A 26,511-nucleotide genomic window follows, 5' to 3' on the forward strand; every position below is an offset into this window, starting at 1 on the left:
CTCCAGCTGGATCCATATTGATGCAAAGTACATAATTTCTTTCATTTTATGGCTGCATAGTATTCCATGTTATGTTTGTACCACATTTTCTTTATCCAGTCCATAGCTGATGGACATCTACATTGATTCCATGTCCTCATTAATGTGAATAGTGTTTTGATGAACATATGAATGTATGTGTCTTTTTGGTAGAATAATTTATTTTCCTTTGGATATAAAGCCAGTAATGGAATTGCTGGGTCGAATCGTCGTTCTTTTGTAAGTTCTTTGAGATATCTCCAAGTTTCGTTCCACAGGCACTGAAATAGTTTACATTCCCACCAATAATGAACACGCATTCCCTTTTCTCCACAACCCTGTCAACATCTGTTATTTTTTTACTTTTTAATAGTAGCCATTCTGACTGGTGTGTGATGGTACTTCATTATGGCTTTCATTCGCATTTCTTTCCTGACTTGTGATTTTGAGTAGTTTTTCATATGTTTGTTGGCGACATGTATGTCTTCTGAGAAGAGCCTGTTCATGTTTTTTGCCCACTTCTTAACAGGGCTGTTCATCTTTTGCTTGTTGATTTGTTCAAGTTTCTTAGAGATAGTGGATATTAGATCTCTGTTGGATGCATAGTTTGCAAATATTTTCTCTCTGTCTGTTTACCCTGTTGATAGTTTCTTTTATTGTGCAGAAACCCTTTAATTTAATCAGGTCCAACTTATCCATTTTTCTTTTGGTTGAAATTGCTTTTGAGGACTTAGTTATGAATTATTTGCCAAAGCTGACGTCAAGAAGGGTATTCTCTAGGTTTTCTTATATGACATTTTATAGTTTTAGGTCTTATATTAAAGTCTTTGTTTCATCTCAAATTGACTTTTTTTCTCTGGTAAAAGGTAGGGGTCCAGTTCAAGCTAGTAGAAGAAAAGAAACAATAAAATCAGAGAAATCAGAGCAGAACTGAACAAAATTGAGACCCCAAAATCCATACAAAGTATACATGAAACCAAAATCTGTTTTTTGAAAGACTAAACAACAGCTATAGACCTCAGTAGGAAGACTAACAAAGAAAAAAAGAGAAAATATCCAAATAAGCACAGTGAGAAATGCAGCATAAAAACAATCCTACAGACATACAAATGATCCTCAGATACCCTTTTCCTCTCTGTGCACCAATTCTAAAATCTAGAGTAAATGGATAAATTCCTTGGAAATGCACAATCTCCCAAGACTGAATCAGGAAGTAATCAAAACTGAATAGACCAATATCAAGTTCCAAAATTGAATAAACAATTAAAAATCTACCAAATATAAAGAGCTCTGAACCAGATGGATTCACAGTTGAATTCTACCAGATGTACAAAAAAGAGTTGGTACCAGTCCTATTGAAACTACTCCAAAAACTTGGGAAGAGGAGGTCTTCCCCAACTTACTCTTCAAAGCCAGTATCACTCTGACACCAAAACCTGGCAACTAAGCACCAAAGAAAGAAAGCTGCAGGCTAATATCCCTCATTAACACAGATGCAAAAATCCTCAACAAAATATTAGCAAACCTAATTCAGCAGTACATCAGTAAGTTAATTTACCACAATCAAGTAGGCTTTATTCCTGGGATGCAGGGTTGGTTCAAAATATGCAAATCAATAAATGTGATTCGTGCATAAACAGAATTTAAAACAGAAACCATATGAAAATTTCAATAGTCACAGAAAAAGCTTTCATTAAAATCCAACATTCCATCATAACAAAATCTCTCAACAAACTAGGGACTGAAGAAACATATCTCAAAATAATGAGTCATCTATGACAGCCAACATCATACTGAAGGAGAAAAGCTAGCAGCATTCCCCTAAAGAAATGGAACACGATAAGGATGCTCACTCTCACCTCTTCTATTCAGCGTAATACTGAATTCAGGTCCTAGCCAGAGCAAACTGGCAAGAAAGAAAAATAAAAGTCATCTAAATAGGCAAAGAAGAAGTCAAACTATCTCTCTTCAGTGATTATATGATTCTATGGCTAGAAAACCCTAAAAACTGCACCAAAAGGCTTCTTGAGCTGATAAATCACTTCAGTGAAGTTTCAGGATAAAAATCAATGTAGAAAAATCAGTAACATTTCTATACACCAATAATGTCCAAGCTGAGAACAAAATCAAGAACGCTACTCCATTTACAGTAGGCACAAGGAAAACAAAATACTTAGGATTATATCTAACCAAGGAGATAAAATATTTTTATAAGGAGAAATATACAACATTGCTGAAAGAAATCATAGATCATACAAACAAATGGAAAACATTTGATGTGCATGGATTGTAAGAACCAACACCATTAAAAAGGCCATACTGCCCAAAGGAATCTACAAAGTATAGTTTAAAAATGTATAAACAACTTGTACCAATTTTAAAAGGATAAACAATACAGTAGTACAATGAGCAAAGAATTCCCAAAAGAGGAGTTAGAATAACCAATAAAAGCATGTAAAGAACACCAATATCACAAATAAACAGAAAATGACACATTTAAACAGTAAAATATATGTTCATACCTTAATGAGAAAAAAATATACAGAAACACTAACTTCATTTCTCTGAGGGAGAAATAATTTTAAGTCTTTTAAGTAATGATGAACACTTTAAGCCTAATAAGTCATGTTGGAGAGGAGTATGACAGTAACTAGCCAAATTGATAATACAATTGAGTCCTTATTTCCACTTCAAGATATATGCAATCAAACATTTTAAAAAGCCTCTTCACAAGGAGTTATGTAAAACAATGTTAATTGCAGCATTGCCATTAATGATGAAAATGAAGCTATGTAAATGAATAGCATACTGTATTTAATGCTATGTAACTGTTAAATGAATTAATTACATACACTTCTTTGTTTACGTGAACCATTGATGTACAGTAAAATATGTTTTTTAGACAAGAAATTATCAATAGCATATTATTTTAACACAAATATAAACAGAAAACATCTACATGTTTTATACGCATATGTATACAGAAATCTGATAAAATAGATTGTAGTGATATACATAAAAAGTCTGACAATATGAATTGTGTGACTTGTGCAGAACAAATGAAGTGGAGAAGAATAAAATAATGTGGTAAGCTTCTTTAAAAAAAGGTAATGGCTGAATGTATAAATCTTTAAAAATGAAGCCTGAAATATTTAAAAATGTAAAAAGTTTTTAACTCAAAATGCTTTGTTAGATCATTTTCCTTTGTTCTGTATGCTATCTGCAGCTTTTATATTTTAAATAAAAATTGGTAAAAAACATTGAAATGTAAATTCATGTATCTATCAAGAGATCTATATGCTTATATAGGCATATAAATACATAAGGAAATACAAGGAGCAGATAACAGTGGCTACCTCTGTGAACTGGTGGCAGACATTGATAAGACAGTTAGCTTCCACTGCATATAAACTTAAACTGTATGAACTTTTACCAGATAACTGTATTATCTATACATATAAACCAACCAAATATAATTGAAGAATAAACAAGCAAAAATGAATGAATAAACAACAAAAAAGAGAGAAAATAGATATAACATCATGGAGGTATAGAAATATATATGAGAAGGGAAGAAGTAGTAGAAATTAATTCTGAATCAATGTTTCCAACAAAGGTTGTTACTACAGGTATCATTTGAGCAAAGTCCTGAAAAATTATTCCCATTAAAAATAAATAGAACAGGCAGGGCACAGGGGCTCACGCCTGTAATCCCAGCACTTTGAGGGGTGAGGTGGGCAGATCACCTGAAGTCAAGAGTTCAAGACCAGCCTGGCCAACATGGTGAAACACCATCTCCATTAAAAACACATACATACACAAAAAAATAGCCATTCATGGTGGCATACACCTGTGGTCCCAGCTGCTCTGGAAGCTGAGGCAGAAGAATCACTTGAACCTGGGAAGCGGAGGTTGCAGTGAGCTGAGATCGCACCAATGCACTCCAGCCTGGGTAACAGAGCAACATTCCGTCTCAAGAAATAAAATAAAATAAATCAGAGGAAACAAAAAAGTACATGAAACCAGAAAAAATAATAATGTGGTCTTGTATCATCTGAAGTTTTTAATGAATTAATAGAATAGGTAAAAATATGTAATATCAAGGAACTTACTTTCTTATTTGCATTTATTTGGCATCATTATCTAGCCTTATTTCTACTTTCTGCTACCATTTTAATATCTAGTGGAAATAGATATTCTAATTTTAAGTAAACATATGTATTCAATTTGTTGCTTTATAACATAGCCTCTTTTTATCTCAGTTGTGATAGGTTTTACCATACTGCCTATTTTTAATATTTAAAAACATTTATTTTATTCCATTTGCAAAGGTGAGTAATTTTACCAATAAGTTTTTCAATTTTACTTATATTTTCTACATTATCAATTTTAAATATATTTATAAATTTTATAGATTTTACATTCATCTGTATACTACATATTATATAGTATAATTACATTCTTCTATATAGTATATATTATATACTATAATTATACTATGTATTATATACTATAATTAGATATACTATACAGCTATTAATATCCTTAGAAAGCATGTACTGAGTTTCCATTCTATTGATGAAAATTATGATATGCTCTGATATTTTCTAGGAACTAAACGAATGCTACATCTGACCTGAGTACTCTATTAAATACAAAATAAAAGATTCGAGTGTACATTTACACACGAGCATGGTAACTGCATCATTATTTTTAAATGTTTATTTGTAGATACCACATAACATACAATAAATGGGAATCTGTATAATACATTCTTTTTCTATATTATGGAATAATATATAGCTACATGAATTATAGTAAGTGAATATTTAGTGATTTTAAAAATTGGTAAAAATATTGCGTTATATGAAAGGGTATGTTACATATTTCAATATCATGATTCTAAATATTTTACAAGTTATCCGAATAAAAACAAATGTGCTTATAGACATGGTATATGAATCATTTTTTTTTTCAAAGCCGAATGGCATAAATTTCTAGGTCCTACCTCAATTGTGATTTTTAACAAAATGTATTAAAAATTCAAATTAGTCTTGTCCAGTAGCTCAAATCTCTAATCTCAGCACTTTAGGAAGTTGAGGTGGGAGGATTTCTTGAGCCCATGAGTTTGAGACCAGCCTGGGCAACATGGCAAAACCCCGTCTCTACAGAAAATACCAAAATTCGTGAGGCATGGTGGCGTAAGCCTGTAGTCTCACCTACTTGGGAAGCTGAGGTGGGAGGATTGCTGGAACCCAGGAGGTTGAGGTTGCAGTCAGCTGTGATCATGCCACGGCACTCTGGCCTCAGCAACAGGGTGAGACTTGGGTCTCAAAAAAATTAAATCACTTTATATAATATGTTATGATGGGGATTGGCATCAGGGGGTAGTTTTATACTCAACCATAATATTATTATGCTTTTTAACTTTTAATTTTGAAGTAATTTCAGCATGATGAAAGCGGACAATTTTTACCCAAGAACTGAAATTTAGTATTTCTTGTAACTGAACAACTATGCATTTTGCTTGTTTATACAAGCCATACTTTGTTTCAGCTATTGTTAGTGCACTTAATAGGAATGCGGATAACAGAATACAAGGTTTCCTAAGACCTTTTCAGATACTCATTGCTTTGTAGTCCATGCCAGACTGAGGTAAAAATTCTTCACATTTTAAAATACGACTACTTGAGGGGAAACCAGAGGTCTGGGAAAAATAGCATGTTAGCAAAGATTTGAATCAATCAATATATAAGTAAATCGATAATTTATTGTTTAATGGATCAATGAACATTTGAATAAGATGTAGTAAAATTTTCTCTATATATTTGAAGTTTGTATATTCCTTAATTGTAAATGCTATATATATAATATTCTATATGTTATTGAATAACATATAATTCACTAAAAGCTTGAATATCTTTTTAAAGTATATTAAATATAAGCAGGTCTTTATGCAAATATTTTTAAATCTTTGCACAAGGAGATTGGTCCTCTCTAAGCTTTGCATGAGATGGGAAAGGAGTTTGGACTAAATAGTTTTTATAATCTTTTAAAATCTGAAATGTATTTTGAATGCTAGTTCTCCTCTTCAAAGAGTAGTCAATAAAATGGGGAAAGACTAGAAATAAAGACAACATTATAAAAGTTCTACAGTAGACATGGTTAGGTATCTTTTCCACCTTTGAAACACTATATTATATTTATTTATTTACTGTGGAAGAGCATCATCCACAGCACTGCACCCTCACAGTCAACATTATGCCCAGTCCCATGGTCCACATTAATTTGACTAGTGTTTAAAACATCCTTATCAATCTATTGGACCTCCCCATAAGATGCTGTAATAAGCCATGGGAGACTCTAAGCCAGTTCTTGCTGATGATTAAATATGTAACCTGTAAATTCAGGTTACTCTGTGAAAATGTGCTTGGCAATGAGCAAGGAATAGAGAATGCTTGGATTAGAAATATTAATAGACTGCAAAGAAGAAAGTAATCAACAACAGAGACTTAGTTCATTGTAAGGGTCTATTATTTTCTGGATCCTGTCCATTGCCAAAAGAATCATCACTATATTTCAGCTGCAAGATTTTGTGAAACAACTATATATCCTCATTCCAAATTCTGCTTTTGAACTCTTAAGGTAGCTTAGGTTACTTATAGTTAGTTGCAACTGTAGTTTAATAGATCTAAGTTCTATATAGGAGAAATTACCAAATCAATAATTTTAAGAAAGCTAGTCCCTAAGTGCTCCTAAAATGCCACACTCAAAAGACATAGTGAGAGAATATAACAAGCATGCAGTCTAGCCTAAAAATGAGTCAAAGAAAACACCATCAGTTAGAATTCTAACACAAGCTTGTTCAAGCACAGAATATCCCATTTTTCTTGATTTCATCGTTTTGCTAAGCCATTCTTGAATCCTCAGTTTTTAATAGGGTTATTGTAATTAGACTTAGATAATAACGTTCCTTTTCAGAGACCTAGTCTTTTTTTTTTTTGCTTTGCTTTCTTTATATCATTCTTTGATTCTCAGTGATTAATAACAGTGTCATTAAGCTAATAGCAGGTCACTAAGTGGATGCAGATTGGCGACATTAACCAGAGGATACCTGTGAAGCAGACTGAACCACCACACATAATAAATCATGCCTTTTGCCAGGCTGGAGTAAAAATTCTCTGCTTATTCCAGAGGAGTTAATTTGCAGAGAAGAGACAAAATTCAAAAGCAAGTTATAACTCAATTCTTAGAAGTGACTGAGATTTTCTACTTGTTATTAATGGATATATCTTCTTTTAAATACTAACTTTTAAATTAGTGTTATTCAAGTAAATTGTTGGTTGATTTTCAGCAAGTTATTTAAAAGTAAAGAATTATGAAATATTTTAACAGAAAAAGACAGATATAATCTATCAGCTATTTGCATAGATTAATAAAGAGAATGTTACTTTCTCAAAGTCACATAGAAAATGGGTCAAAAGTTTAGGCTTACCTCTGGTTCTGATGATTTTGAACAGCTGTTGTGTGTGTGTGTGTGTGTGTGTGTGTGTCTTGTGTAGTCTATTTTTTTAATAGATACGGGGTCTCACTATGTTGCCCAGGCTAGCCTTAAACTTTGGGCTCAAGGAATCCTCTCACCTCGGCCTCCCAAAGTGCTGGGAGTACAGGAGTGAGCACCATGCTCAGCCCTTATAGCCTTTCGATTGTATATAATTGTTTATTTACATTACTAAATAAGCAATGTATTAAATTAACAATCTTTTTAGCTCACTATTTTAAAAGGCCATTATGGACCAATTCCTGTGATCATTTCTGAGGTTACTATGGAGAATAAATATGGTCACAGTCCTCAAGAACCCACGATGGAGAGAGATCGGAGTTACAAATGCAAATATCTGTTATGTAGAGCGGTATGTAGTATGGAAGAGGATCGATAACCTGATGGAGAAACACACAATATGCTTTGGAGTCTCAGAAAGAGACTTTAATTATAGAAAATGTAAAATTGACTATGCTGTGTTGTATGTTTGGGTTTGAAAGTAGAAAAAAATCTTCCTATTAATTGGTATCAATAATTAAGCATCCTCTGTGAAACTAAAATTATTTTAAACACTCATACTATCTATCTATCCATCCATTTTTTGCACTTACCTATCTACTTCCTTATAACAATATCAGAAATGAAAGTTATTTGTCTGTTTCAAATAAAATAAAATTAAAAGAAAAAGACCAAGAAAAATATTTTTAAAGCAATTAGAACTATAACAAATCCAAATTTGCCTGATTCTTTCCTTAAAAGAGGAAAATTTTGCAAATGAAGTTTTTTTCCCCTGCAGAGTTGAAAGCCAAACTATAAAAATTTATTGGTTTCTGAAATTTATTGGTTCCTAAAATTTTCTCGTTTTCCCAGATTCATGTTTCATATGACAAGTTAAACCATGCAAAAGTATATAAAGTGTTCAGAAATAGAAAGTAAATAGCATCAAGTAATCTTCTAGCTGCATTATTCACAGAGATATTGCTGTGCATAAAATGAAATGGTAACAGTCAGATCCAGGATGAGTGTGAGGTACAAGAGTCAATCCCTAATATTTGGTACTGATATCTGCAAAAGTTTGTATAGACTTTTGTCCTCTGAAAAGCACATTGCTTTCAAGTGGTATCAATATTTAGTTAAAAAAAAACTTCATGAATTCATGATTTCTGACTACTTCTCAGATTTCTCTCTTGAAAAAAGGGGTCTTACACCACATTTTAAATGTTGACAATATAAAAAATGATAAATCTGAGCCAAGTCTCTCTTCTGATGAAAAATAGGTTCTCCTCCATACTCTCAAATTCCTCCTATCTGTGGTACCCATTTTTCATATTTGTAGAAATGTAATCTAGACATTTAAACAGTCCAATTAGAGACATGAAAATATTCCATTATGATTGGCCTTCTTACAAAATATAAGCTGCTTCTAGTCCTTAAAACAATTTAAATTATGGGGCGAGGTATTGGGGGGTGAGAAATAAAAAAAAAAAAGAAATAGGTTGTGTGCTACATAAATCATTGTATATATCTATATACACACACACACACATATTCACATGCATATATATGAAAGTGAACATCTCATTGGTATTGAAATGTACACATTAATTTATTTTTATATATTTAACTGTACCAGTATAAACCTTATATTTCTAAAGAGACTTTATTTAAATATAATTTATTTTAGCCAATGGAAAACATGTGTCTATTTTCTTTTTCACTAAAATGATTTTCCAAACTGTAGCACTTCATTGAAACTCTATTGCGTCCTAAGTGAAATTTTCCTTATGATTCATTTTCACTTAATTTCCATTGAATTTACCTAATGATTTGTTGCAAAGATTAAATAAAAAGGAGAAAAAAAATATTGATAGTTACTACATAACACAAAATGTTCACATATTATAATAGTTAATATCGTACTAAACTAAAGGGATTATCTTTATTTAAAAATATGAAATATAGGTTCATTTATATGTTGCCATAATAATGAAATTATTAACTATCATTATATTATAAATTTTAATTCTATGGGATTAAATATACATATATATTATTTATATATATACGTATATTCATTCAACTTCCTCACATTTCCTGCTGACTCTCCTCCATTTCTCTGTCATGCTGTATATACACTTAAATCTGTCACATAGAGACTGTCTACTTGATTGAAATGGATAGTAGACAGCACCACAATGTAATATTGCCTTGGACTCAGAATAGCTATTGCTCCTGTGCTCTGTAGGGCAAGCCACACTATTTTTTCATTTTTCTTTCAATGCCTGTCTACCTTTTATATTATTGGTTTCTTATGTCTGCTGACCAAGACATAAGAAATTCTGTGAGCCTGTCAGAATCATACAATCATGAAATATACCATTCCTTGTCTTTCATGTGCATTTAAAGGGTCATATGAGGATGGACATTTAGGCTACTTATAGTTTATCACTTTTGCAATAATGCAGTATTCACAATTTTTTATCTACTAAGTGTTCATACGAGTGAAAGAAAATATTAAAATTAAAATAGTGGGGTTAAAGGTGTAGTCCTCATTTTAATATAGATCGGTGTCAACATTTACACTAAAATAGTGCTCTAATTTATATTCATAAAGTGTATAAAGGGAAGCACCTGTTACTCTATCTTTTTTCCAACCGTGGAGTTTATTTATTATGTATAATAATAACTTGGTGTCAATTACACAGGGAGAACAGTATAGGCAAATTGGGTGTAAATTACAGAGACCAGTCTTTACTTACACAGAAGAGTTTGGCAATCTGAAGGAGTGGTTTGGAGCACACTTTATCCTTAGCCTGAGGTATCAATACTTGCCTATAATTTAAAATAAAAAGGGCATTCTTCTTTCGTTGGTTTTTATAGGAGTTTAGGTGAACTCCACTTCTGTTGACAATAAAGGTATTTATCAAATGATAAAATATGCAGGGGGGAAATTACATATTTTAACTTAACTGGACTTTGAAGGCAAGAGTCATTAGAAAATATTGACTCTGGAGCCAGGCTGACTGATTCTGAAACCTGGCTCTAGCATTTATTGTGTGGTCCTTGGCAAGACAGCTAACTGCCCTGTTTCTGGTCTTATTTATTTGTTTTTGAAATGGAATAACGATATTACGCAGGACTTTACAGGAGGATGTAAAGAATGACTTTTTAGATTCCACATATAAGTGAGATCATACGGTATTTGTCTCTCTGTGCTTGGCTTATTTCACTCAGTATAATGTCCTCCAGTTCCACCCATGTCACAAATGACAGCATTCTCTTCTTTTATAAAGCTGTAGCATTCCATTGTGTAAATATACCACATTTTCTTTATCCATTTTTATATTAATGGACACTTACATTGTGTCTTTATGTTCAGTATTATGAATAATGCTGAAATGTTCTTTAAAAATGTTATTTTTAAAAATAAAAATAACCTAGATTAGGTACCAAAAAGAAGACAAGAAAAAGAAAAGAAGTGTACCTAGAGTAAGAACTAAAGGAGTAAAAACGTATGTAGAGTGGTTAGAACAGTTTCTGGTGTGATTTTTAGCTAGTAATTTTATTTCTATACTTATATCGTACATTAAAATAGTATAAAACATTTTGCATTAAATAATAACAATCTAATCAATAGACAAATATTTATTGATGTCACATTTATGGCAAAAATATTTGGTATTGAAAAGAAATATATATTTCAAATTATAAATATGTAATAAATGTTGATTGCTTAGGTTTACATAAATATTGTCTAACAATAAAATGCAGCACATGCCGTGCCAGATTTGTGACCCAGAAAACAATCTGGAACACTGGGACTTCCCAGATATTGTAGTAGCAGAAAGACCCTGGTAATAGAAAGACAATCCTGGCATAAGATGTTAAACTGGACTGCATTATGAGATATCTGAATAACTAGACTCTTAAAAGCAAATTTATATTTATGGATCTAAATTCCATCATTTATTAAATAGAAGTATGGGACCATAAATTATCCAGGAGGTCTTCCAACTCCCCAGTTCTATTTGTTTTAAATCTGTGAACAAGCTCTGCAGGTATATAGAATAATGAGAAAAAAATGAACATAATAATAAAAGAAGGAACTTAAGTATTCATATTCAGGTTCAAGTGGTAATTATTTTCTAGAAAATTTTGCTGCCTAATTACATTTTTTATTGGGCTTGTTATTATTTTCATGTATTGGTCATTAAGGATGTGCTAGGTTTTACGTTAAATGGTTTTATTTTATCTAATAGCTTTGTTTAACTACATAACCGTAATTTTTAATAGATAGTTTTAATACAGTATGTCATCAGTATAACCTCTTATGAACTATCAAAGTGGCTTATTCGCTGAATTGTTTTTGAATTCAATACAAGTTAAAGGTTTGTAAATAGGGCACTGTGACATATTATAAGAACTATCATTCAAGAAGGATTAGTTTTTGTGACAAGGAGAACCAGGGCAATCAAATGGGCCTTAGTCTTCTATTTATAACATTGGGATATTAATGCTCACTTAATGATGTAATGAATATTAGTTACACATTGTGGCTGCAAACATCTTTTACATAACCTTCATGTGTATAAAGAATTCATCATATTATCAATCTTACCTCTAAAATGTAGGAGCCAGAATGTGGCCTTGACTATTCCAATCAGATGAGCCCCCAGAAATCTTAGAGTAAATAGAAACCTGAGCAAAGAGCTTTGCAGACTCTATATCCTGGTAAAGGTTCTAAGTAGAACATCTGGCTTTTGACATGACTGGTAATGGGGTTGCAAGCTCTTCATCTGTATAACCAGTTGTGGTATCAATGACAGGAAGCAATGCTATCCATGCTGCAAAGGAGCTGATGTGAACTAAATTTTTTTTCCTGGCTACAAATACTCAAATCCAGTTTTGGTTTGGTGAGCATTCCTGGGTATATTGTGAGCATTCTACTTTTTCTTTCTTTCTTTCTTTCTTTTTTTTTTTTTTTTTTTTTTTGACAGGGCCTCAGTCTGTCACCCGAGCTGTAGTGCAGTGGTGCAATCTCGGTTCACTGCAACCTCTGCCTCCCGGGCTTAAGTGATACTCCGGCCTCAGCACACCAAGTCCATGGGACTACACGTGCATGCCACCATGCAGGGCTAATTTTTGTATTTTTGTAGAGACGGGGTTTCATCATGTTGCCCAGGCTGGTCTCCAAGTACTGAGTTCAAGTGACCCCATGCCTCAGCCTCTCAAAGCTCTAGGATTACAGATGTGAGCTACCATGTCCGGTCACATTCTCATATCTTTAAATTGACAATATATTTTTACTAGCCAGAGTAGGTCTCTAAAATTTATAAGTATGTATTTTGGTTGATATTTTTGTTAGATAAAATAATTTAAATGCCCAGAACATGTGATTGTGCAAAATTTGTTTTCAATGGATGTTCATCTAAAGAAATGTTTGACTTCAGGGTCAAAATAGTGTGACTTCAGGGTAAGATGATGCTTCAAGAAGAGGTATATATCTCAACACTTGAAGAGAGATTAATGACATTAATCAAAACATTGGAAAATAAAAGTAATAATAATAATAAACTTTTGCCATTGCAAACGGGATAAATGTACCACCCATCTTTCATTCATTTCAATATATTTATTTTAGACTGTGTGCTTTTGGGAAAGTGACTGCTGTCCTAGTCATAAATTCAAAAATATACTTGATAGTATAAATATCTTAGTGGTTCGAAAGTAGAAGGAATTAAAAATTTTAGATACAGAAAATATTTCACCAGAAATTTTGTTTTAATTTTGTAATTTAAAATAAAAATAGACTTTATTTATTCTATAAAGAGTTAAAAATAACAGTAACATGAATTCCTCTTCTTTGTAAGAAATTAATTTTTTAAAATATAAAAGCGTTCAGATATTGCCTTTGGGAGCTTTAGTCTGTGTGTTATAGAAAGAGTCCAGCTTTGGGCCTGATTAAGGCTAAGTTCCTAAGTCTGATTATATGATTCACTGCATTTATTGTGAGCGTAAAGCAAATCTGAAGTGCCAGTTCAGTTCTCTAATGTAATTTCAAAATTCTATAAATATCAGAACATAATAGGGAATTATTTCTGAGAGATATTTACATTTTTATTTAGAATGTTAAATGAATAGCAAATTTTAGTCTTATTGTAGTGTCATGGAACTTGTCTTCTAGAGACACTAAAAGAACATATATATACATATATATATATATACAGTCAAGATATCATGTTATACACCTCAAATATACACAATTTTGTCAATTATACCTTCAAAAAGATGGAAAAAAGAACAGGAAGCATAACTCATAATTTAAAAATCAGAATTCAGCGTTCAGAGATACTCTGAAAATATGTGGAACAAAAGGCCTACAAGTCAAAAATAAAAATCCATATATTTTCTTTGTATATTCCAAGTAGAAAAATTATAAGCATATTTCTGTCTCTCATTCTTTAAGAAATGGAAAATTGAAGAATAAAGGAAGGAAAGACAGATGGATGCTCTGGGCTAACACCTAACTTAAAGACTTTGCGATGATTGCTCCTTCTGGTCATACTGTGCTTTCTCCCCGATATTCGTATGGCTAATTCACTTGCTTACCTTAAATGTCACTTTCTTGTCAATGTCTGCTCTGACCATCCTATGTGAGATTTGAATTTTCCCACATCTCTGATGTTCTATACCCCATTTCATTCTACTTCCATAACACTTAAAACTGCTCAATACATAATTTATAAATTATATAACATAACATATAATTTGTAAATTTATTTTGTAAGCACTGAAAAAAATAGATTTTTATGTCTTTTGTATCTTGAGGGCTGAGGATATTCCTGACATATAGTAGGGGCTCGTTGTACTTGTTTAAAATGTGAATGATATAAAAAATATGTCAATAATATATTGTTAAATTACACAAGTATGTACTGAAAAATATGCACTTTTAACATAAAATCCCATTATTAGTTTTCAATAAATAGGTATGTAAATTATGTGTGAACAGATGTGCCCCAAGATATTAACAATGTTAATGCAAGTATATTCATATTGTAGATGACATACATATTGGCTTGCTTGTTTAGTTTACTTTTATCTTTATTTTATTTTCTTTTTTTCTAAATTAACATTGATTACTTATTTTAAGAGATATACATGGAAAGAATAAAAGAACAACAGAAAAAAGAAAGACAGAAGAAGAGTAATAAAGCTATGGCTTATATTTCAAGACTCTCCTCTGAAATAAAAACAAATGGCTGAGAGAATATAAAAGTTTGGGGAAAATGCAGTACTTTTTCAGAATTCACTTTCTTTAATGCACTTTTATTCTGTAACTACTCCACAAAATTAGTTTATCCACCTTTAGCAATTTATTATTCATATTAGTTCATTATTTTGTATGTAGTCTTTGCACTGAAAATGCACAAAATTTATGATAGCTACTTTATTCAAGTGGTTTATACACATGTAGATTATTAGACAGACTTTAACTGGACATCATTTTCATAGGATGTTAACATAATCTCTTTAAAGAAATGCCTCCCAGATACACTAACACTTAAACATTAGTTAGTACTTTGCATTTATATTTGCTCATTCTGTAATTCCATTTCTTATCATGCTGTCTGATTATTTTTCTCTTTAAGTTAGAATACAGAGTCACAGACTGTAGCCTGAGTTCTGATTGGAATTGACTCAAACATTAGCATTTAATCTTCTCCAATCAAACTGCAATAAAGAATCATGAAAATTAAAGAGAAAATTAATAACAAATTATACAAATATATACTCCTCAAAAGTAAGTGCACTGGAGTAATGTCAGCAAGATAGCAAAATAGAAGATTCTCCAGCATTACTACACCCACAAAAGTACACTAGCAACTATTCAAAGACAAGAATATCACCCTGAATACACCAGAACTCTGAAGACAAGCAGAAAACCCCATGTGCACACAGAAATGAGAAAACCCATGACTGGTAAGAGGAATGGTCATTTTAGACCATTGATCCTGTCCCTGTCCCCCAAGCTAGCATAAGATCACTTGCAGAGAATTTCTCTAGATCTACAATTTCTCAGGTGAGAGGAAGAAATTGGAGGTTAGGCATTCAATCTCCCCACCAGTTTGTGAATATTTGTGGGGCACCCGATCCGATCCCATCCCGTGGAAGTACCAGGAGGGATAAAACCACTTGAGTTGAATTGGAGACAAGGGGTGAGGGCACTGATCACAGAAATTGGTATGTGGATCTTGGCTGCTTCTCTGCATTCTGATCAGTAAGGATGCCACAGTGAAGTGATTGGCTGACACCACAGATGCTGCAGGGGGCACCATCTGTGAGAAGGCCTAAATTCCTGATTGGATTTCTCAGAAAACCCAGATGCTTTTGTGGAACATTTCCGTGATCTGGAAACAAGTTAAAGGTTGGCAATGGTGTTTGCTTAAGTCTTCCCCAGACCCAGAAACCACTGCAAGTCTGTATTTAAGTTCCAGTGCAGCATATAAGTTCTGATGATAACCGTTCCAAGCATACAACAGCAGGGCAGCAAGTTAGTTCTAGTGCAGGGCTTTAGTTCTGGTGCTCATTTTACTTCCTCCCCAGAATGAGAAGCAACAGCAGAGCAGCAATTCAATATTATGTAGTACATGTCTAACACCACTAAAGAACATGTGAAAAAGCTGAAAGAGATAGCTGCTTCCCCAAATACATAGGCATAAACATAAAGATGTAAAGATTGTGAAAACTCAGGAAAATATAACATCAAAAGAAACAAAGCACCAGTAATGGTCTTAGAAAAATTGAAGATCTTTGAAATGTATGACAAAGAATTCAGAGTAACTCTCTTAAAGAAGTTCGGATTCTTATATGGCATTTATGGACCTGCGCTGGGCCAGAAGGAAGCCCAGTGTCCTGAAGGGTGAGTCCCAAGCAAGGCAGCATTCACCACAAGCTGACTTAAAAGACCTTGGTCCTTAACGGAACATGGGTGGTAGTCTGGCAGTACTCCTTGTGGCCAAGGGTGGTGCTGGCTATGGAGTGAGGCACCTCTCCCTCTGGAAAGAGGAGGGAAGAGTGGGAAGGACAGTATCTTGTGGTTTGAGTACCAGCTGGGCCACAATACAATAGAATACCAGGTAGACATCTAAGGTTTTTGACTCTAGTTCCTGACTCCCAAATGCTAATTGTGGACCCACTGGAGTCTGCAGGACCTCACCACACTGAATGGAGTAGGACATGAGCCTGGCTGGCTTTCCCACCTGCTCTACCCCAACAGGCCTTGAGCAAACATAGGCAGTATCCAGGGAGTGGGTACAGCAGGCGTTGGGCAAGACCCAGCACTGTGCTGGGTTCAGGTCTGATCTAGCACAGTCATAGTGGTGGCCACAAGGGTGCTTGTGTAACTCCACTCCCAGCTTTAGGTGTCTCAGAACATGCATGTGTGTGCACACACACACACACAGAGAGAGAGAGACAGAGACAGAGACTGTATGTTTATGAGAAAGTAAGGGAAGAGAAAAAGAGTCTCTACCCGGTAATCTGAATAATTCTTCTAGAACTTGTCCAAGACCATCAAGGCAGTACCTCTATGAGTCTGCAAAAACCACAGTATTACTGGGCTTGGGGTGCACACTAAAGCAGAAACAGTTTAGATCACAACACCAAAGTCCTCTCAAATATCTAGAAAGCCTTCCTACCAAGGACTACTACAAATAAGCCCAGACAGTGAAGACCACAATAAATACCTAACTCTTCAAGATCCAGACACTGAAGAATACCTACTAGCATCAACAACATTCAGAAAAATATGACCTCACCAAATGAATTAAGTAAGTCACCAGGGACCAGTCCTGGAGAAACAGAGATATGTGACCTTTCAGAGAACTAAAAATAGCTGTGCTAAGAAAACTCAAAGAAATTCAAGATAACCCAGAAAAGGAATTCAGAATTCAATGAGACAAGTTTAACAAAGAGATTGAAATAATTACAAAGAATTAAGCAGAAATTTTGAAGCTGAAAAATGCAATTGGTGTACTGAAGACTGCATCAGAATCCTTTAATATCAGAATGGATCAAGCAGAAGAAAGAAGTATTAAGCTTGAAGACAGGCTATTTGAAAATACAGTCAGAAAAGACAAAAGAAAAAAAGAATTTAAAAATTAAACATGCTATAGGATCTAGAAAATAGCCTCAAAAGGGCATATCTAACCATTATTGGCCTTTATGAGGAGGTAGAGAAAGAGATAGGATCAGACAATATGGATTTTAAGAGAAAAACTATAAGAAGAGGCAAAGAAGTTCACCATATAAAAATAAAGAGGTCAATCCCACAAGAGGATATAACAACTTTATAAATGTATGCACCCAACACTTGAGCACCTAGATATATAAAGGAAATAGTATTAGAGCTAAAGAGAGAGAGAGATAGGCCCCAATACAATAATAATGGGAGACTTCGACACCCCACCTTCAGCATTGCAGAGATCTTCCAGACAGAAAATCAACAAAGATACACACATTTAATTCACACTATAAATCAAATGAATCTAATAGATGTTTACAGAACATTTCATCAAAGAACTGCAAATACACATTGTTTTCCTCAGCACATAGATAATTCTCAAAGATACATGAGACATTAAGTCACAAAACAAGTCTTGAAACATTCAAAGAAGTTCAAATAATATCAAGCAACTTCTCTGATCACAATGGAATAAAACTAGAAATTGAAAACAAGAGGAATTTTGGAAATTATATGAATACATCAAAAATAAACAATATGCTTCTTAATGACCAGTGGGTCAATGAAGAAATTAAGAAGGAAATTGAACAATTTCTTGAAATATATAATAATGGAAATACAACATACCAAAACCTATGGGATACAGCAAAAGTAGTACTAAGAGGCAAGTTTATAGCTGTAAGTGCTTGTATCAGAAAAATGAAAAATTTCAAATTAGCAAGTCAATTATGCATCTTAAAGAACTAGAAAAGCAAGAGCAAGCCAAACCCAGAATTATTAGAAGAATAGAAATAATAAAGATCAAAGCAGAAATAAATGAAATTGAAATAAAAAGTGATACGAAGATCAATGAAACAAAGTTGGCTTTTTGAAAAGCTAAACGAAATTGGCAAGCCTTTAGCTAGACCAAGAAAAAAAAGAGAGATGATCCCAATTAATAAAATCAGAAATGAAAAAAGACATTACAGCTGATATTACAAAAATTCAAAGGATCATTTGCGGCTACTATGAGCAACTATATGCCAATAAATTGGAAAATCTAGAAGAAATGGACAAATTTCTAGATACATACAATCTACCAAAATTGAACTAGAATCAAATCCAAAATCTGAGCAGAATAATAACAAGTAGTGAGATTAGAGCTATAATAAAAGTATCTCAGTAGAGCCCAGGATCTGATGGATTCATTGTTGAATTCCAAACATTTAAATAAAAACTAATACCAATCCTACTCAAACTATTGTGTAAAACAGAGGAGGAGAGAATACTTCCAAACTCACTCTACAGGACCCGTATTACCCTGATACTAAAACTAGACAAAGACATATCACAACAAACAAACAAATATATAGATAGATAGATACAATTATTATGTACTATAGTTAACCTCTTGTGCTATCAAATAGCAGGTCTTAATCATTCTTTTTAACTACTTTTTTGTGCCCATCATCCATCTCACCTCCCCCTCACTCTCACCCCTCCAATAACCTTCTCAGTCTTTGGTAGCCATCCTTCTACTGTGTCCATGAGTTCAATTATTTTGACATTTAGATTTCACAAATAAGTGAGAAGCTGTGGTATTTTTCTTTCTCTGCCTGGCTTATATCACTTAACATAATGATCTCTTTTTCCATCCATGTTGCTGTAAACTACTGGATCTCATTCTTTTTTATAGCTGAATAGCACTCCATTGTGTATATGTTCCACATTTTCTTTATCCACTCATTTATTGATGAACACTGAGGTTGCTTTTGAATCTTAGCTATTGTAAACAGTGATGCAACAAATGTAGAAGTGCAGATACAAATAACAAGCAGGAATATGACCAAATGTTTAACATCACTAATCGTCAGGGAAATTTAAATCAAAGACACAATGAGATATCAACCTACCTCAGTTAGAATAGCCATTATCAAAAAGACAGAAAATTGCAAATGCTGTGAGGATAAGGAGAACAGGGAATGCTTGTACACTGTTGGAAGGAATGTAAATTAATATAGCCATTATGGAAAACAGTATGAAAGTTTCTTAAAATACTTAAAATAGAGCTACTACATTATCCAGTAATGCCAATGCTTGGAATGCATTCAAAAGAATTGAAATCAGTATTTAGAGGAGATATCTGCATTCCTATGTTTATTGCAGTACTACTATCAGTAGTGAAAGATAGAATCAACATACATGTACATCAACTGATGGATGGATAAAATGTGGTATATATATAAAATGGAATACTGATCAGCCTTAAAATAGAATGAAATGCTGTCATTCATGGTGAGGTGGACGAACCTGGAGACGTAATATTCAGTGAAATAAGCCAGACACAGAAAGACAAATACTGCATGCTCTCACCTAGATGTGGAACCTAAAAACATTCATTTTATAGAAGTAGAGAGTAAAATAGTAGCTTCCCCAGGTTAAGGAAGGAAGGATGGGGAGAGGTTGGTCAAAGGGTACAAAGTTACAGTTAGATAGGAAGAATAAACTCTGGAGTTCTACTACATAGTAGGGTGACTGTACCCAATAACAATCTACTACATATTTCAAGACAGCTAGAAAAAGAGGATGTTGAAAGTTATTATCACACAGAAATGGTAAAGTTAGAGGTGATGGATACGCTCACTACCTTGATTTAATCATCATGCAATGTATACATGTATTTAGACATCACACTGTATCCCGTACACATGTACAGCTATGCGTCAATTATAAGCTAAATAAAAAAGTACACTAATATTTTAAATGCATTCCTACTAGTACTGTTAAATAGAAGAGGAATTGTATAAAAATTTAATATCCTTGAAACATAAGTAAACTTATCTAAACCTACAGATGATTTTAGAAATATCATCAAATTGAAAAAGCATTTTAAATTATGTACCTTTCTTTGAATTATAGATACCATTTGTATCTTTAAAACATTGTTCTAATGTATCATAATTTTTGCTTGTATAATTTCTTGATTTCTTATCATTTGTCATTTCTAATAATAGGTAATTTTTTTCACTTGTGCACCTTGCATTTATTCTCTTTCTTCAAATCCATTTTTCATGATTTTGCTAAAATTATCTTTTTATATTTTATTTTTTTTCTGGACATAAAGTGATATGTGCTTGTTGACCTGGAAAAGCTGAATAGCAGAATGCTGCTAATAATAAATTTTACAATTTACAGATTATGGAATGTCAATACTAAATTATGATAGAAATTCATGAGGACTAGATGGACATATCTCAACCATAATAAAATGCGAGTGATAATTTTTGGACAGTGAGCACTTATATTTTCAGTTTGATCAGAAAGTTTACTCTATATTAGATCACATTTTTAAAAGTATCTAGGTAAAGATGCTTGAAGTTTTCAAAAGCAAACAAAACAAAACAAAACTCCTGGACATATTTTATCATTTTTCACTGTTCGATCCATATTCTCCCACTGACAATTCTCTCTAGGAAGTTAGTTCCTTTGGTGTGCAATTATTCTCCAATATGCAGCTTAAGCCTTGTATATGTTGTGACTAACAAAGGAAAACTAGGCAGGCTCCTGGTTGTGCCTGCCTTTCAGCTAATTCTCTTGCCAGTTATTCATGAGATCATCTGTTGCTCTTAACTTGAATTACTCTGAAGTAATAGTTTTGACATCTCTGCCATTATTTCATTTTACTGTATTTCAGTGATTTGAATATAGTCTGAGGCCATTCAGGAACAGAAAGGTAACTAGATTCATTTTATTAACCCAAAAGATTATGTTGTTGCAGTATGGTTTATTTAAAAAATACTTCCTCCTCCTGCTGCTCTGAAATTAAAATATTAAAAATAATTTCCTACACATGTCTATAACTCTCGGGACTCACAATTCTATTCCATCGCACAGCCTACTCATCTGTGTTCCAGAACCAAAATCTTTTCATTATTATACTGTTGCAATATTTTATTTCTTTGTGGAATGAGTTTCTTTTGATAGAACTTTTCTTGGCCCAAAATGATTGTAGTCAAAGGTTTATTCTTCTTGCTGAATCTAAAATTATTTTCAAGTTTTATAAAATATATATTATTATATCAGAATTGGATTCACTTATCAATTAGATTCGTGTACACAGAATTGACATCTTGTTGAATTTCTCATTAGGCAATATGATAATTTAATCAATCAGATCCTATTTGTGGCTATAAAGAAGTGGTGTAGCTCCCTTTATACAGGTGATTCAAGGTACTTGTTAGTTTTTATGATGATGTTTATTAGAGTTATTTTTATTATAAATTGGGTCTTACTTTTGCTTGCATTTTCTATAAGATAATTTAGATGTATAAGAAAACTGTAGATTGTGTACATTTATTTTGTAACTACTCATTTCGCTTTTATGTCTGATAGTGTAACTTAAAGCAGATAATGTTATCATCTTCAAGTCATAATTATAATGCCATTTCTTGTAAATTATAGGTCATTACTTTTCATAATTTATTGTATTATCTGGAGCATAAATTTATAAATTATGGTGATGATAGTGAACGTATTTAAATGGAATTTTTGTTTCACTCAAAGGTTTTGATTTTATAATTTTATTTTTAAACGAATTAAGTTTTACTGCTCTTAAGTTTTAAAATTAATTATGTTTAAATGGAAAATTATATTTACATATTAAATGGAAAATAAAATTCATATTACTGCATTATCATTTAATATTCATTTTTCTATGGCTCCTCTTCATATAATAGATGCTATGGTTTTCCACACCTTTTCAATACTTACCTTTAGCACTAATATTTTTGTTAAAAAGTTATTTTCTTCTTACTCAAAAGTAGATCTAGACTTAAGTATACTTCTCCATAGTCTCCTGACTCTTAAGCAGTATTCTTAACTTTTGTGACTGCTATTCCTCTTCTCTCAGCAAGAGACCAAGCAAGACATTTGAGAGACGAGGCACATACAATTTTTATTTACTCAGAACACCGCCAATAAATGATGTTTTTATAACTCTCCAAAGATTTTAAACTAAAAATTGTAGTTTTCATTATATTCAGAAATGACCTGTCATAGTGAATTTTTCAATAATTATATGTCTCCCTAGGTTTATTGCTATTTGAATAACCCCTATTCCTATTATCTCTTTTCATTGTTCAAATTACCTTTGTACATTGTGATCAAGTTATCAGGTGACAAATCCCGCATTATAATTATAATAATATGCATAAATATTTAGCTTTGTATTTATTTTACTCTTTCTTATTTGTAATATCTCAAGGGCCTTCAAATTTTAGACCAAAAGTCAATCAAAGTGTTTTCCTAAAATTTATGTTTCTGCTTTCCTCCCTATTTAGTTTAAGAATATATAAGGAAGAATAACAGTTTAACATAATTTCCAAAACTTCATGCCTGTATTGCTGGATTAAATCCAGTTTTTCAAATAGAAATGAGAATATTTTGCCTAATATTTATAGGTTGGTCTTTCAAAAATCTTTATTTACAAGTATAAATAAAAATTCTCTGAAAAATAATTTAAAGAAAAGAGATTAGATGGAGCAGTTTGCAAACCAGGGAGATGCAGCCTTTGGTGTAAAATGAGGTGTGTTCCAGACAATAAAGGAAGATTTATCATTTATAGAGGAAGTTCTGGCCCAGGGTTCCCACTTAAGGCCTGCTTATGCAAATGAAGGATTCAAACTTACTTAGTTCTAATTGGATAATGCTTGCTGAGTTCTGATTTTAGACAAAGATCACAGTGTACTGGTTGGTTTAGGTGGCATAAACAGGAACAGGTAGCTAAGAAATCCCAAAATTAAGGACACATGGGTTTTCCAGTACCTCAAGGTGTGTGTGTGTGACCTCTAATCAGTAAATGGCCACTTAGGTCCAGTTTGAATCTAGGCCACTCAAGATTCATCTTGAGAGATTGGCTCCCTCAGCGTTCACACAAATAAAATGAGAAGATAGCTTTTATTTTCACCACTAAGTTTAAAATAATAAGCCAGATAAATGTTTCATAAAATAATTTTGAAGCATTTTCTCCAGGAGCTTGAAAGTTTTATATTAAATAAGAATTTGTTCTTTCTCACTTGTTCAGTGGAGTTAATTTTTCAAGCTATGAAAAATGCAGTGGCTCATGCCTGTAATCCCAGCACTTTGGGAAGCCAAGGCAGGTGGATTGATTGAGCTCAGAAGTTCAGACCAGCCTGGGCAACATGGTGAAACCCTGTCTCTACAAGAAATACAAAAATTAGCCGGGCAGTGGTGGCACCGGCCTGTAGTCCCAGCTACTCACGAGGCTGAAACAGGAGAACACTTGAGCCGGGAAGGCAGAGGAGGTTGCAGTGAGCAGAGATGGTGCCACTGCACTAAAGCCTCGGCGATGGGAGTGAAATATACTCACTCACTCACTCACTCTCTTTCTCTCTCTCTCTCTGTCTCCCTCTGCCTCTGTCTCTCTGTCTCTCTCTTTCTCTCTCTCTCCATATATATACATATAAAAAAATGATGGCGATGATAGTGAACATATTTAAATGAAATTTTTGTTTCACTCAAAAGTTTTGATTTCAAAATTTTATTTTTAAACAAATTAAGCTTTTCTGCCCTTAAGTTTTAAAATTATGTTTAAATGGAAAGTTATATTAATGTAATTTTTGATATTACTGAGTCATCCTTTGGTATTCATTTTTCTATGGCTCTTATTCATATAATAGATGCTATAGCTTTCCACACCCTTTCAATATTTACCTTTGGCACTAATATTTGTGTTAAAAAGTTCTTTTCTTCTTACTCAAAAGTTGATCTAGAAATAAGTATACTTCTCCATAGTCTCCTGACTCTTTTATTATTATTATTATTATTATGTTACTTTAAGTTTTAGGGTACATGTGCACAATGTGCAGGTTAGTTACATATGTATACATGTGCCGTGCTGGTGTGCTGCACCCACCAACTCGTCATTTAGCATTAGGTATATCTCCTGACTCTTAAGCAGTTTTCTTAAATTTTGTGACTGCTATTTCTCTTCTCTCAGCATGAGACAAAGCCAGACATTTGATATATGTATATAAATATATCAAACTAAATTCAAAGACGATATTTACTCTAAAATATTGATTTCTGCACCTACTTTTCCAACTCATTTTCCTTAAACAATTATTGCTTGTTTTAGACTTCAGTTTATCTGCTCATGCTCTAGAAAGTGCTGGGAATGCCTGCAGGCTTGGTTAGGGTCTCAATCCTTTGTCTTCTAGAATATTCTTATTATAACATCTGTCATATTTCATTTTCATTGCTATTTAACTGTTTTTATTTCCTACCATCATATCTTAAGCTCCTTGAGAGAAATAACTAGTTTGTATTTATCATAGTCTCCTGAAAGCTTGACATTAGATAAATGCTGAATGAATTAGAGGAATAAATTGTTGCATTGACAGAATTACTTTTTAAAGACTTTTTCAGATAAAATTATCCTGTTGTGGTAGCCATGGAGATGCAACACTTGGAGTGCCCTTCAAGATAGAAATTCCTGATTAGCTGGGAAGAATGCAGTTTGCTGACTGGCTCCATCCTTCCGGGTAAGCTCCAGTTTATGAGCTGAAAACAATTCCTTTATTGGCAGGCTCCAGCCAAGTGTTGGCATGCAATGTGGGCATCCTTTAATGGGCCATCTTTGATCCAGGGCTCTCATTGTGTTATCTGCTACTCTTTCACATCTGTATCATGGTATGAAGCCCTGCCCAATCCTGCTCCATGTCCCTTTGCTTTCACAGGTTTCTGAGAGGATAGAGGATTTATCCTGCTCAATTCTGCTTCCTTCCGCATTTATCTTTCACTGGTGTTATTCCCAAATAAATTGTTTATACTGCTACCTCCTACTCAGCATCTGCTTCCTGTTGGACTGACTGAACACCACTACTGATGTAAAAGATAATTTAAAACTCTGAATCACACAAGAACACAAAGCATTTTTAAGCCTGAAATGAATTCAGATGGCTGCTAAATGCTCAGCTTTGAATTGATAACCATCATTCACTTGTCACTCCTTAGTGAGATTTATGCTTAAAGCTTCATATGTTTAGAGTTTTAGTCTTGTTTATTTTCTTCAATATTGGTTTTCTAGTAGACGTAACAGTTATTTCCACTCTTCTATTTATTTAAGAGCAATATTTTTATTATTTTAGCATGGATGTATTATTATGTTGTTCTAACTCTAATCTTAGAGCCCTTCTGTGAAATATGTGTAGTGTCACTTTAAAGTTATATTTTAATTTCTCAGCAACATTAAAAATTGCTCTATTATTACAGCTATAATTCTTGTGTTCCTGTTTTGCAGACAATTTCACTACACAGGTCAAACTTAGTCCTTAACTGTAGTCTCTATAATTGGATCCATTCTTATTGCAAACTCAAAAAATGAAAGTTCTAAAGCACAAGTCACTTAACTCTCTAAGACACAGTGATTTTGGAGACAAAATCCAAAGCAATTAAATAAACTATTGCAAAGTTGTTGTTTAGCATACCATTAAGGTCTTTTGTAATGTGAAGATGTAGCATCTGTTCCTTTCCTCTTTCTCTTCTCTCTTCTCTTTGCCTTTTTCCCTTCTTGAAAAATTTAGTTTGATAACCTTTAAGTTAGAGTTTCACATGAAGAATGGTGGAAGTCTTGGTGGCCTACAATAGAATATCAGAGCCTATGTAAATTGAAGATGTCCATGTGGTGGGAGGTGAGATGTGATGC

At 33.0% G+C, this 26,511-nt stretch overlaps 1 long non-coding RNA gene across 1 annotated transcript in view; it reads left to right on the forward strand.

Annotated features, from left to right (window-relative positions):
* Positions 1 to 26,511, forward strand: part of LINC00587 (long intergenic non-protein coding RNA 587) — a 137,873-nt gene that overhangs the window by 33,412 nt on the left and 77,950 nt on the right. The window contains exon 2 of the long non-coding RNA NR_103830.1: positions 25,223 to 25,348. This is a non-coding gene — a long non-coding RNA (long intergenic non-protein coding RNA 587). The remainder of the gene's footprint in view (positions 1 to 25,222; positions 25,349 to 26,511) is intronic.

This window comes from Homo sapiens, chromosome 9, assembly GCF_000001405.40.
Source record: "Homo sapiens chromosome 9, GRCh38.p14 Primary Assembly".
NCBI classification, from domain to species: Eukaryota; Metazoa; Chordata; class Mammalia; order Primates; family Hominidae; genus Homo; species Homo sapiens.